Here is a 14,374-nt window from a genome sequence, read left to right as displayed (position 1 = left end):
AGGGAAGTGGTGGGTTGTCTCCCAGTTTGGGTTCTCTGAAGGAGTGAGGGGACTCTCCAGCTATGGTCTCCACGTACAGTCGGTCTCTGATCTCCCGAGGCTTTGTGCCACTGCGCGCCCAGGGATCTTTCTGTCCCAATTACCGTGCAAGATTCTTGCCTCCAGTTGTATGTACTGAGGCGGCGGGAAGAAGCGCCGAGGGAAGGCTCAGACCGCAATGCCCCCCAGCCTGTAGCTATTCTCGGGGGCTGCAGCTCCCGCACCCGCGACGCCCGGCTTTCAGCGGGTGCAGGCGCAGCCTCCTCGTTCCCCTCCCGCCCGCGGCTGCGCCCGGAGAGCGCTCAGCTGACCTAGGGGCGGGGCCGGGGCGGGGACCTAAAGCCTCGGCTACTTCCGAGGGGGTGAGTGGCTTCACCGCCGGTCCCTTGCAGCGCTGCCTTTCGATCTCTCCACATCTCGGTGGCGCGGGATCTCAAGATGCGCCTCCACCTGCTCCTGCTGCTCGCGCTGTGCGGTGCAGGCACCACCGCCGCGGAGCTCAGTTACAGCTTGCGTGGCAACTGGAGCATCTGCAATGGGAACGGCTCGCTGGAGCTGCCCGGGGCGGTCCCTGGCTGCGTGCACAGCGCCTTGTTCCAGCAGGGCCTGATCCAGGTATGGCGTGCGGCCGACCCGCGGCGAGCCTGCGCCCGCCTTCTTCTGGTGCTGAGAGGGGCCCAGGAACCGCCTGGCAGCCCCCAGCTCTGGGCCATTCTCGTCGGTTTGGTAGTAACTTCCCCTTTGCATCTTGTGATCTGCGGGGGGAAATGCCCAAGCTATGGGGTACGGGCTTGACGGAGACTGAGCGACCGACCCATGTTGGGACATCAGTAACTCTGGAAAGGGGAAGTTTAGATAGGGGAACAGTGTTGCTACTAGCAGTTTACTTACTGCAGTCGTTCTCTACTGAAGCGTGTATACAAAGGGCATGCCGTCACTGACAAGCATAAGGTCGGGAATTACTGTCTCTACTGTCTGCACGCCACAGGGGACAACAGCGTTTTGTTAAGTAAGGGTTAACTCTATTGAGTAATGTCTCGGTTTTTTATTTTCGCTGTTAAGCGTCAGGGAGTCAGATTTGGGATTGACGCAGCACAGACGTTGTGGAGAATGACCTACAAGAGTAAAGTTGGGTTTGTCAGTGCTAGTGTGGCTAACAACGGGTAAATAATTTTTAAGGCTAACTTGGTGATGAAGAAAGGTGCTATTTCCTCTCAGGGCGTGTGTGTGTGTGTGTGTGTGTATCCCAATGGAGTCTCCAATTTACAGACTACTTGTGGGGAACGTTTTCGTGTTTGGCTGCCTGTGCGCATAGGTTTGCAAACTGACTTCCATCCTCCAACTGCTTTTGCTGTTCCCTCTTGCACAGCGTTCCCACGTGTTGTCTTTACTTGGGGCAAAATGTACTTGTAATTGATCTACTTGTGGGATGCATACATTGTCCAATCCTCATAACAACTCTGTATAGTAAGTGTTCATATCTGAATTTTATGGATAATATGGAATTATGGAACACAGAGAAATTAGGAAGGTGACAGCAACTAAATGGAAAGAAATGGAATTCTAACCCAGGTGGTCTCAACTCCATAGCCTGGTCTCTATACTATGTGGTATGCTTAGTTTGGTGTTTTAAAAAATCATGTGTTTTTGAAGCACTGTGGCTGACTTTCAGGAGCACCATTCTAAGTTTATTTGCATGACAAGGTGGTCATCTAGGGTTGTGCCAAATTTCTGACCTGGTACTTAGTAGTTTTTTTTTTTTTTTTCCTGAGATGTGTATCAGAAAGGAGGTGAATGTTGTAAATGACATTGACCATTGTCCGATGTATTTTTAGAGTAGATCATTCCCAAACTTTAGTACTTTATTTTAAGTTGACAAACTACTTGTGATAGAGAACACAGCTGACCACAGTATACTCTGAGTTTTCACTTATATCTGCTTTGAGAATGCCTGTGTTTATTTTGTAGGGTTCCTCCTTGCCTGATTTTACTGAAATAATTAAGCCAATGGGTGCTGGTACGTGAGAGCTTTGGGAGGCCAAGGTAGGAGGATCCCTTGAGTCCAGGAGTTCAAGACCAGCATGGCCAACATAGAAAGAGTCTATGAGGCCGAGGTGGGAAAATTTCTTGAGGCCAAGAGTTCAAGACCAGCATGGCCAACATAGAGAGATTCTATCTCTAAAAAAAAAAAAAAAGAAAGAAAGAATTAAGCCAATGGGAAATAATGAGTGGCTTCAGTAAGTCAGATTATTGTGCCATATTACAGAGCTAAGAAGCTAAGAAACAACGTTTGGTTACAACAGATACTTAATGAAAATGAATTTGCTCATAGTATGAAATAACTTCCTCATAGGAACAATTTGAAGAGATTTCTTAACTCTCTTCATAAATTCTTAGCAAAACCTTGAGGTTTCAATCAGGTGGCCATGGGTCTCAAATGGCAGTGGAATGAGAAATGGGAAGGCTTTTGGGGCTTAGGAAACACAAGGCCTGTTGAAAATAATCATCAGGCTGGGCACAGTGGCTCATGCCTATAATCCCAGCACTTGGGAGGCAGAGGTAGGTGGAGTTTAGACCAGTCTGGGCAACTGGCGAGACCCTGTCTCTACAAAAAATTAAAAAATTAACTGGGCGTGGTGGCGTACACCTGTGGTCCTAGCTACGAGGGAGGCTGAGGTGGGAGGATCGTTTGAGCCCAGGAGGTTGAGGCTGCAGTGAGCCGTGATCTGTACTCCAACCTGGGCAACAGAGTGACACCCTCTCTCAAAAAAAAAAAAAAAAGAAAAAAAGTAAAGAAGCAATCATCAACATCAGATCAGTATCGTTATTCAGTAATGTGAGACTGTTGTCCGACCTGCTTTATTATAACATCCCTTTTTGGTGTTGACTTGAGGAAATATTCTACCGTTTATAGTAGACACTGGGCCAAATATTGTGTTTGTGTAAGAACTTGAAACATATCTTGGTGATATCATTCATTTATTTATCTATTCACCTAGTTAATTATCTCATATTTATTTTGTACCTCTAATGTGGCAGGCACTATTCTAAGTACTTGAAATCGAGTGGTAAAGAAAACAAAGTCCTTTCCCTAATGGACATTCTAATGGAGGAGATAGACATATATACCAAATTAATAAATAATGTAAGGCAGGTGGCACACTGAAGAAAAATTGAGCAGGTTAAAGGAAGAGACAGTGAAGGCTGGTTGGAAAGCATTGCTATTTTTTAAAAAGTGGTTCAAGATAGGTATTTTGATAAGGTGACTTCTAAACAAAAAGACCTGTTTGAAAAGGTCACTTTTAAGGAGAAGTGCATTTCCAGCAAAGAGGAAAAACACAGGAGTGGGGAGGATAGAGGCCCTGAGGCAGGCACGAGCTTGACAAGTTTCAGGAATAGTCAGCAGGCCAGTGTGGCTGGAGACCTGGGAACCAGAGGGTAGGAGAGGAGTTCAAAGTCTAGGGCACATCATGAAAGGCTGTGAGCCATAGGAAACACTTTGGCTTTTATTCTACATGTGATGGGAAGTTATTGGAGGCTTTGAGCTTAGAGTAGCATGATTAGATTTGCCTTTTTAAAGGTCACTCTGTTGTGTGAAGGCTACAGTGCAGGAGAGTGGAAGCCTGGAGACCAACCAGGGGACTATTGCTGGTCTATGTATGGGCAAGAGATGACTTCTGGCTTGGACAAGCATGGTGGCAGTGAAATGGTGAGAATGGTTGTGAGAACACGTTTTACATGTAGAAACAAGAGGATTTCTTCAGTTGGATTTGTTAATGGATTGGGAGACAGAAGGGGGAGGTGCAGGAAAATACCAGGATTTTTTTTATCTGAGCTGGTTAAATGAAATTTGTATTTAGTGAGAGATTCTGTGGCTAGTCTTGGCTATTTCCTAGGTGATTCTCTGGGTTTTCTGTACAGAATCTAAACCTTTGGTTTCTTAGAGAGTCTTTTGGGTTCTCTGTGAAAAGTTATTCCTTCAGCCTGCTATTTTTTTTTTTTTGAGACGGAGTTTCGCTCTTGTTGCCCAGGCTGGAATGCAATGGTACTATCTCGGCTCACCGCAACCTCTGCCTCCTGGGTTCAAGAGATTCTCCTGCCTCAGTCTCCCAGGTAGCTGGGATTACAGGCATGTGCCACCATGCCTGGCTAATTTTGTACTTTTAGTAGAGACAAGCTTTCTCCATGTTGGTCAGGCTGGTCTTGAACTCCCAACCTCAGGCCATCCACCTGCCTCGGCCTTCCAAAGTGCTGGAATTACAGGCATGAGCCACCGTGCCTGGCCCTCAGCCTGCTATTATGCCACACAGTGTAATAGGCATTAGGAATAAAAAAAGAAATTGAGAGTGAGACTATAGTTCCTATTTTGTGGGAGGCCACTTTAGTGAGGCAGAAAACTAAATAATTTCCATATGTTATGTTAAGTGCATACATAAAGGGACCCTTGTTAGGAATGTTCTCAGCTTTTCTGTGGAATTTCTCACTGGTGTAAGTTTTGAAGCAACTGCTTCTTTTTTTTTTTTTTTTTTTTTTTTAGATAGTCTCTGTATGCCAACATTAAAATATATAGATAAGTAAGAAGAAGGTTGGAAACATCACTCCCAGAGATAACCACTATTTTTTTTGACAGCTGTTCATGTGACTAATGCCCCCAACAGTTTTATATATTTATTTATTTTTATTTTTTATTTTTTCCCTTTTTTTGTTATACTTTAAGTTCTAGGGTACATGTGCACAACGTGCAGGTTTGTTACATATGTATACATGTGCCATGTTGGTGTGCTGCACCCGTTGACCCGTTAACCTCATTTACATTAGGTATATCTCCTAATGCTATCCCTCCCCCAGCCCCCAACCTCATGACAGGTCCCAGTGTGTGATGTTCCCCATCCTGTGCCCAAGTGTTCTCATTGTTCAATTCCCACTATGAATGAGAGCATGTGGTGTTTGGTTTTCTGTCCTTGTGATAGTTTGCTCAGAATGATGGTTTGCAGCTTCATCCATGTCCCTACAAAGGACATGAACTCATCCTTTTTTATGGCTGCAAGGTATTCCATGGTGTATATGTGCCACATTTTCTTAATCCAGTCTATCATTGTTGGACATTTGGGTTGGTTACAAGTCTTTGCTATTGTGAATAGTGCTGCAGTAAACATACATGTGCATGTGTCTTTATAGTAGCATGATTTATAATACTTTGGGTATATACCCAGTGATGGGATGGCTGGGTCAAATGGTATTTCTAGTTCTAAATCCTTGAGGAATTGCCACACTGTCTTCCACAATGGTTGAAATAGTTTATAGTCCCACCAACAGTGTAAAAGTGTTCCTATTTCTCCACATCCTCTCCAGCACCTGTTGTTTACTGACTTTTTAATGATCACCATTCTAACTGGTGTGAGATGGTATCTCATTGTGGTTTTGATTTGCATTTCTCTGATGGCCAGTGATGATGAGCATTTTTTCATGTGTCTTTTGGCTGCATAAATGTCTTCTTTTGAGAAGTGTCTGTTCATATCCTTTGCCCACTTTTTGATGGGGTTGTTTGATTTTTTCTTGTAAATTTGTTGAAGTTCTTTGTAGATTGTGGATTAATTAGCCCTTTGTCAGATGGATAGATTGTAAAAATTTTCTCCTATTCTGTAGGTTGCCTGTTCACTCTGATGGTAGTTTCTTTTGCTGTGCAGAAGCTCTCTAGTTTAATTAGATCCCATTTGTCAAGTTTGGCTTTTGTTGCCATTGCTTTTGGTGTTTTAGTCATGAAGTCCTTGCCCATGCCTATGTCCTGAATGGTATTGCCTAGGTTTTCTTCTAGGGTTTTTATGGTTTTAGGTCTAACATTTAAGTCTTTAATCCATCTTGAATTAATTTTTGTATAAGGTATAAGGAAGGAATCCAGTTTCAGCTTTCTACATTTGGCTAGCCAGTTTTCCCAGCACCATTTATTAAATAGGGAATCCTTTCCCTATTTCTTGTTTTTGTCAGCTTTGTCAAAGATCAGATGGTTGTAGATGTGTGGTATTATTTCTGAGGGCTCTGTTCTGTTCCATTGGTCTATATCTCTATTTTGGTACCAGTACCATGCTGTTTTGGTTACTGTAGCCTTGTAGTATAGTTTGAAGTCAGGTAACGTGATGCCTCCAGCTTTGTTCTTTTGGCTTAGGAGTGTCTTGGCAATGTGGGCTTTTTTTGGGTTCCATATGAACTTTAAAGTAGTTTTTTCCAATTCTGTGAAGAAAGTCATTGGTAGCTTGATGGGGATGGCGTTGAATCTATAAATCACCTTGGGCAGTATGGCCATTTTCATGATATTAATTCTTCCTATCCATGAGCATGGAATGTTCTTGCATTTGTTTGTGTTCTCTTTTATTTCATTGAGCAGGATAACCACTATTAAAGTAAAAATTCAGTGCATCCATTCTAATTTTTTTAATGCATACACTTTTATAAGTATTAAATATACAGCTTAACAACTCTTGGGCAGGCACAGTGGCTCACGCCTGTAATTCCAGCACTTTGGGAGGCCAAGGCGGCAGATCACGAGGTCGGGAGATCGAGACCATCCTGGCTAATACGGTGAAACCCCGTCTCTACTAAAAATACAAAAAATTAGTCCGGCGTGGTGGCCAGCACCTGTAGTCCCAGCTACTCGGGAGGCTGAGGCAGAAGAATGGCATGAACCCGGGAGGTGGAGCTTGCAATGAGCCAAGATCACGCCACTGCACTCCAGCCTGGGTGACAGAGCAAGACTACATCTCAAAAAAAAAAATAAATAAATAAAATAAAATAAATAACAACTCTTTCACATTTAATGTATTGTGATGCTCTTACCTGCATTAAACAGGTTTCTATAAACCATGTTTAGTGGCTTTTTAAAAATTATGTTATATACAATTACCATCAGTTATAATCTGTTACTTATTGTTGGATAGTTAGATTGGACTCCATTTTTTTCTATTTTTCTGATGAGGATCCTTTTAACTAAATTTTACTGTACATCTTTATTTTCTTAGACAAATATTTAAAAGTTAAATAGCTGATTCATAGGATATGTACTTTTATTAGTCATTTAGTACGTGCTTCTAAGTTGCTTTTCATAAACATTGTACCAGTTGTACACTGCCACCATTATTTTATCAGAGTGCTTATCTTAGGTGCTAGATTTGAATATTATTTAAGAAACAAAACAAAATCAATTTATTTTCTAGTAAGGTCAAATACCTTTATACGTTTATTTCATAAGTTTATTGGTGACATGGGCATTTCTAATTCATCTTCTTTTGGCTATTTATCTTTAATGGTGATTTTTTTTTTCTTTTTTTTTTTTTTTGAGACAGAGTCTCACTCTGTCGCCCAGGTTGGAGTGAAGTGGCATCATCTTCCTCACTGCATTCTCTGCCTCCCAGGTTCAAGCGATTCTCATGGTCTCACCGTGTTGCTCAAGCTGGTCTCGATCTCCTGAGCTCAGGCAATCCGCCCACCTCGGCCTGTCAAAGTGCTGGGATTACAGGTGTGAGCCACCATGGGTGGCCTCTTTAATATAGATTTATAAGGCCCCTTTGTTATATATTTTCAAAAATTCAAATTAAAACTAAATCCCCAAATGTCCCATTTATTAATGAAGTATTTTGTCATATGGATGTTTTAAAGCTGTGTATGTTGAAATCTTTTGTTTTCCTTTTATGATTGTTTCTGTCTTTGGTAGTTTGCTTAAAAATAATTCCTCTCAGCTATCTTTATAGTTCCTATATTTAAAATTTTGATTCATTTGAGGTTTCTTCCAAATAGTTAATTGGTTGCCTATAACTCATGATTTGAAGAATTTCTCTTTTGTCCGCTGATATATTACTTTTATCATGCACTAAATTCGCATATACTGATATAATATTGTTATTCCTTCTCTTTTAATCTTTAGAAAGGTTACATGATTAAAATTCTTTTAAAAATACGTATTTATGTAGTGTTCATTGGATAAAAGAAATACAGAAAATATAAAGAAGGAAGAAAAACCAATAAAACACATAATATAAAGCAGAAAAAGACCACTGTAAAAAAGTGTTTATCTTTCCACATTTTTTTCTAAGTATATAGAGACAAATATAACATAAAAATGAAATCATCCCCTAAGGTGGTTTTATTAGCTACTTTAACATTTAAAACATATCATGAATATATTTGTCTGTGTCTGTAAATATAGATCCAGGATTATTGCAAATAGCTTCATACACCCCATTATAAAGATGTGTTCTTATTCAAAATCTACACTTGAAAATAAAAATTATAAGTATATAAATATACACATATACTAAAAAGTGGTAGGCAACAGATACTTAGTACTTTTTCCGTAAATTTTATTATTACCTTATATTCTTCACATGCAATTGGGACAAATGGCCAGAGAAAGATATATTTTAGATGTGTAAGTTAATTAACTATAAACTGTAAGAGTACATCATAGTAGCTATACATGTGATTAACAAGCTAGTCACAATCATTCTTTTTATTTTATAAACACAAACTATTATAAATACAAAATAAGAAAAAGATAGTTAAATGTTAGCTGTTATGAAGAGTGAAAACATTATATAAATTTCAAACGGCTGCTTTCTGCATCTGCATCAGTATAATTTCATGATTTTCTACCAAGTTCATTTGTATAAAGAATCTCTATGATCAATTTATCATTCACTTTCATGCCCCCACATGGAAAGTGGTAGGTGAATATCTGTAGGAATACAATTTATTGTCTGCTTGTCCACTGAAAAGTAGCCCTGTGTCCCTATCCAGTCTACACTCAGAACTTTGTCTTCATGAGCAGCCAGATCATACAACTTCTTGTATCCCACAACTTGACAATGTTATCTAAAGATCCTGAAATCAGTTGCTGTTCATGGGTAGGAGACCATTTTACTAATGTCACGCAACCTGTATTTGAAGTTAGGGACAGTGACACCAAAGAATGGTCTTTAGTTCGGGGATCCCACAGTCTGGTATGCCTATCTGTGCTTCCAGATGCTAAACGTTTACAAAGTTGGAGAATGGGAAATACAATTAAGCACTTTATTTCCTGTCAAAGCTTGCCTTCAGACTGTCAGACTCAACATCCTACACTCTAATTGTATGGTCCCAAGATGCACTGCAGATTTCTTCAGCATCTGACCACAGAACTGAGGAAATTGCTTCCTTGTGACCAGAGAGGGTCACTATGGGAGTCATAGCTGCTCTGTGTTCTCTGTCGATTTGTGGATTCCTCCATTTCATCTTCTTCTTCTGTAGGGACTGTAGACCAGATCTTTAGCATCTTATCCCAGGAGCCACTACAAAATTTAGTTCCTGAGCTATCAACAGCTATAGACTCTGCACTTCCAGCATGACCTCTGCAGCACGGTCGGGCTTTCACTTTGTTTCTCTCTATTCCACTCCCATAAGAGAATAGTTGGATCCATAGAGGCACTCACAAATAAGCAAGACAAACTATCTTTTTTTTTGGCCCAGGCCACATCTTTTAAGACATCCCTATGTCCAACAATTGTCATTATTGACTTTCTTTCCAAGGACCGGATTTGAGAGGTCTTATCATAAGAACCAGTCAAGATCCATTCCTTTGCCCCTTTAACTGAAAGGATCCAGTCATCATGGAACATGCATTGCTCTGGCTGGGGTGCTGTGTACTTCACATATTCTATTTCCACAACTACTTCTGATGACATGTTCTCCAGTTCCATGTGTTTGACCAAGGACATTCGCAGAAACTGGCCCTTAATAAGGAAATAAAACTCCATATGTTTGTGGAACTCATTTTTGTCCTTTAGTAATTTATTGATGATGTTACTAAGGTCAGCAAATTCAGAGGCGGCAGGGATTGAGAAGGAAACATCATTTACAGCATATTTCTTGTTATCGGTGTAGAAATGTGTTTGGAGCTGAGCCAAGGCAAGGAGTACACACAAGACTTTTGGGTTAGTAGAGAGAGAATGGGAGCTCCTGTCTCTTAACTACAAAGAGGCCGCTCAAAATTAGACTGCACAGGTAAGCGAGAAGCTGCAGTCTAAGCCTGGACTCTGCTTTTCCTCCTTGGGTCTGCTCCACCCACAATCATTCTTTCTAAGGAGCCATGAGTCTGTCTATGGAGTCTCCAATCTGCAGGTTATCACTCATAAGTACATTCTAACAATATATGTGCATCAGTGTACATTCTACTTTTGTATTCTTTAAGTAGCAAATAAGCAGTTTCTATGTGAATTTTGTTAAACTTTGGGTGAATTTCAAACAAATAGTAAAATAGAGATACTTGCAAAATGAAATTTCATGTATCCATCACCTGGCTTCAACATGATCAATTCGTGGCTAATTTTGTTTCTTCTCTATCCACTATGCCATCCCTTATTATTTTGTTTTGTTATCATTTTTTTTGTTTTTTGAGATAGGGTATTACTCTGTCACCCAGGCTGAAGTGCAGTGGCGTGGTCATGGCTCACTGCAGGCTTAACCTCCTGGACTCAAGCTATCCTCCCACCTCAGCCTCCCAAGTAGCTAGGACTACAGGTACACACCACCATACCCAGCTAATTTGTTTCTTTTTTGTAGAGACAGAGTCTCCCTATGTTGCACAGGCTGGTCTCAAACTCCCAGGCTCAAGCGATATTCCCACCTCGGCCTCCCAAAGTGTAGGGATTACAGGTGTGAACCGCTGCTCCTGGCGCCCTTAGTATTATAAAGTAATCCCAGTTATCACATTATTTCATCCACAAACATTTCAGTATGGGTCTTTAAAAGATAGGGAGTTCCTTTTTCTTCAACATAACCACAGAACCATTATGACTTGTGAAATATTTTTGATGTGTTTCAGAGAAGAGAGTCCCATTATTATAATCCAAAATGACTAAACATACATTTTTTCTCAAAACAGAAGGTTTTCTGGTTGTTATACTAACCTTCCACAGAGATCTTAAGACTTGTAAGGATGAAATATTTGTTTGAATACTGAGAATGATAAAAAATGTTTTTTAAATAAAAAAAAAACTAAGGAAATATTTGGCTTTACGTGATCATTTTATGATGTGAAATGATCTCAAAAGCTTTTTAGGAAATGACCCTTTAAAGATATGTATGTCTTCTTCTAAAAGTTTGACTGACTTAAAGTAAAATTAAAAAAAAAAGTTTGACTGCTTCTATCAGGTGTGACATTAAGGAGATAAAATAGCTAATGACTCTGCATTTGAAATTTAATTTAAACAGAAATAGTCATCAATTAATAATGTTGCTCAATTTCTGGGAAGAGAGAAGTCCAAGGTTTTTAAGCCCTCATTTAAAAAAAACAGATAGTTTAAAAAATCCTGATCCTTAAACCTGGACATATACTTTCTTGTTTGATGCCACATGAGGTGTATTTAGGGTATGGGAGGATTTGCTTTGCGTGGCCCCGAACTGAAAATCAAAGGACCACCTGAGAGCTAAATTTTTAGGTAAGCGTTGGCTGGTCCTTATCATGTATAAGTATTAATGCATGTAGTCAGCCTATACAATTCATTTTCATGTAACATTTATTTTATGTCTTCCACGTGTGATGCACTTTTCTTGGCCCTTTCATGTGCACTTGTTCATATAATTTCAGCAACAACCCTCTGGAAAAGGTATAATAATTCACAGTGACTGAGGCTCAGCAAAGTTATTGCCTAAGATGATGCATATAATGGATGGTGGAGCAAGGATTCAAACCCCGATGTTCTTTTCACCATTGCACGCTGCCTATTGGCAGAAACAGTAAATAGTAAACAAATGGAACAGTTATTTTAATTTAAATGTGTCTGATGAAAATAGAGACATGAGTACAATATACTTTTGTTCAAAATATGCCACTAAAAGCACCCCATTTGCTAAAAGCTCTCAAAAAATGTAAACATTTTCTCAGGGTTAATTCATATATCACTTCTTTCTGTATTCTCCGTCTCTTGGAATTCTCTTTGTTTCAGCCATCACTTCTGTGCCACAATTGCTGAAATGCTTGTGTCTAACCACCACATCTCACTTGATTTCCAGCTAGAAATTCTGTTCAACTCTCCTACCTGAATGTCTTCATGGCATATGAAACTCCATATATCCAAATATTTCTTCTCTCAATTCTCCCAACCCTTACTTTCTCTTATTTTACCTATTTATAATAAAAGCATAAGTATTTTCTCAGGAAACTAAGCCTAGAATCTTGGTTACAGTTTTTTGTTTTTTTTTCTCACGTCTGTTGTTAGGTACTGGATCTTTTAAGTCCCATCTATACTGTCTTATAACCATTCCTTAACATTTCTACCGCTATCAACCTAGCTCATTGTTTTCTTTTTTTTAAAAAAAGAGATAAATTAATCTTAATGACATTTAGAAACAGGTAAAGGATATAAATAGCAAATGGGTTTTTTTTTTTCTTTTTAGATGGAGTCTTGCTTTGTCACCCAGGCTGGAGTGCAATGGCACGATCTCGCCTCACTGCAACCTCTGCTTCCTGGGTTCAAGTGATTCTCCTGCCTCAGCCTCCCGAGTAGCCGGGATTACAGGCGCCTGCCACCACACCTGGCTAATTTTTGTATTTTTATTAGAGATGGTGTTTCATCATGTTGGCCAGGCTGGTCTCGAACTCCTGACCTTGTGATCCGCCCACCTCGGCCCCCCAAAGTGTTGGGATTACAGGCATGAGCCACCTTGCCTGGCCAATAGTAAACAGTTTTAAAGGTAGGCTATGTTATGAAAAGCATCCCTGTCTTCTAGGTCCAGTTCCCTTCTATAGAAACAACCATGATTAACCGGTTTCTTGTGTATTCTTCCATAGATGTTATAAACATATACAGACAGATATCATATATAGATACATGTATTTTCCCCCCACAGATGATTGCATTCTATATATATATATAGTTTTATATTGACCTTTTTCTTTAACTTAATATATCTTAGACATCATTTCAGATCAGTACATGTAATAGAAAAGATAGCTATCATTTTTGAGTGCACACTATGTACCAAGAACTGTTCTAAGCACTCTTCATAATTGTCTCATGCACTCCTTGTACTGATCCTGTGAGGCATGTAGGTATGATTACTATCTCCATTCAAGAACTGAGAAAACAGGTGTACAGAGATGTTTTTTGAGCTTCACAAAGACTCACAGGTATTAGGATTAAGCTGGGGATCAAACCCATGCAGAAAAGGTTTCACCAACTGCCTCTTCCACATGTCAGCTCCAGTCACCTCCTGGCTTCATCTCAGAGGCAGTGGAACCATGTAGCTGCCCAGCCTCACTCCCTGAGCAAGTGTGATCTCCTCTGACTCTTCCTATCAGCTAGGAATCTGTCTGCAGGCATTTATTCTAACCTTTCATGAGGTCCAGTCCTGGGAACCCCACCGCTACACTTCAGTCAGGTGTCACTTGTCTCTGTGTCTCCTTGAAAACCTTGCATAATGCCTGGGACTTGTAGTGGGCCAAGCAAATAGTTTGTCTTGTTTTCCCTTTTAAGTTTTAGTCTCTTTGGTCAGAAAATTAGGACTCTCCTTAAACTGCAACTTTTTTCACTTAGAGCTATGTTAGATGGGAAGCAATATTTACTAATTTAAGGATTTTAGAAAAAGATAATGTTAAGGCTGACCAAAACATGTTGCCAGACTCGTGGGCTGGGGATCTCTTGTACCTGTGTACCCTTTGAAGTAAGAATCATAGCTGAAGATCCTATTTGACAGAGGAGAAACTGAAGTTTGGAGACTATAGCTTCTGAATGAAACATTGTGATGGTTAATACTGAGTGTCAACTTGATTGGATTGAAAGATACGAAGTACTAATCCTGGGTGTGTCTGTGAGGGTGTTGTCAAAGGAGATTAACATTTGACTCAGTGGACTGGGAAAGGCAGACCTGCCTTTAATCTGGATGGGCACAATCTAATCAGCTGCCAGCAAAGCCAGAATAAAAAGCAGGCAGAAGAACATGAAAAGACTATAGTGGCTTATCCTCCCAGCCTCTATCTTTCTCCCATGATGGATGCTTCCTACCCTCAAACATCAGACTCCAAGTTCTTCACCTTTAGGAATCAGACTGGCTTCCTTGCTTCTCAGCTTGCAGATGGCGTGTTATGGGACCTTGTGATCATGTGAGTTAATACTCCTTAGTAAACTCCCCTTTATATATATATATATCCCATTAGTTCTGTCCCTCTAGAGAACCCTGACTAATACAGATTTTGGTACCAGAAGTGGTTCTAGAGGAACAGAATATTAAGGATGGAGTTCTTTTATTGGTTTTGGGGTTTCTGGAGTTGGCTGCTTAATGTGATTAGACCAAAAAATGCTAAAGGTTC

The 14,374-nt window shown here is 40.2% G+C and overlaps 1 protein-coding gene and 1 pseudogene across 3 annotated transcripts in view, besides 3 other annotated features; one reads left to right on the top strand and one right to left on the bottom strand.

Annotated features, from left to right (window-relative positions):
* Positions 240 to 369: a silencer, noted in NCBI's record as "silent region_15599". NCBI's record gives its function as "represses an Ori minimal core promoter by ATAC-STARR-seq in GM12878 lymphoblastoid cells {active_cell/tissue: GM12878}" and the evidence as "EXISTENCE:reporter gene assay evidence [ECO:0000049][PMID:35858748]".
* Positions 404 to 14,374, top strand: part of MANBA (mannosidase beta) — a 130,199-nt gene continuing 116,228 nt past the window's right edge. For 2 of the 3 annotated variants that reach the window (NM_005908.4, XM_047415692.1), the window contains exon 1: positions 404 to 654. In NM_005908.4, coding sequence (NP_005899.3) covers positions 478 to 654 — 177 coding nt within the window. In that variant the 5' untranslated portion in view covers positions 404 to 477. Of the gene's footprint in view, positions 655 to 919; positions 1,049 to 14,374 lie in introns of those variants that run through there. The other variant, XM_047415693.1, reaches the window with a different exon arrangement.
* Positions 460 to 809: an enhancer, noted in NCBI's record as "active region_21757". NCBI's record gives its function as "activates an Ori minimal core promoter by ATAC-STARR-seq in GM12878 lymphoblastoid cells {active_cell/tissue: GM12878}" and the evidence as "EXISTENCE:reporter gene assay evidence [ECO:0000049][PMID:35858748]".
* Positions 6,496 to 6,673: a silencer, noted in NCBI's record as "fragment chr4:103675856-103676033 (GRCh37/hg19 assembly coordinates)". NCBI's record gives its function as "represses an EF-1alpha promoter that drives an FKBP-Casp9 reporter gene in an ReSE screen in HepG2 liver carcinoma cells {active_cell/tissue: HepG2}" and the evidence as "EXISTENCE:reporter gene assay evidence [ECO:0000049][PMID:32094911]".
* WDR12P1 (WDR12 pseudogene 1) lies at positions 8,537 to 10,125 on the bottom strand (annotated as a pseudogene).

This window comes from Homo sapiens, chromosome 4, assembly GCF_000001405.40.
Source record: "Homo sapiens chromosome 4, GRCh38.p14 Primary Assembly".
Classification (NCBI taxonomy): Eukaryota; Metazoa; Chordata; class Mammalia; order Primates; family Hominidae; genus Homo; species Homo sapiens.
This window is presented reverse-complemented; position numbering and strand designations above follow the sequence as displayed.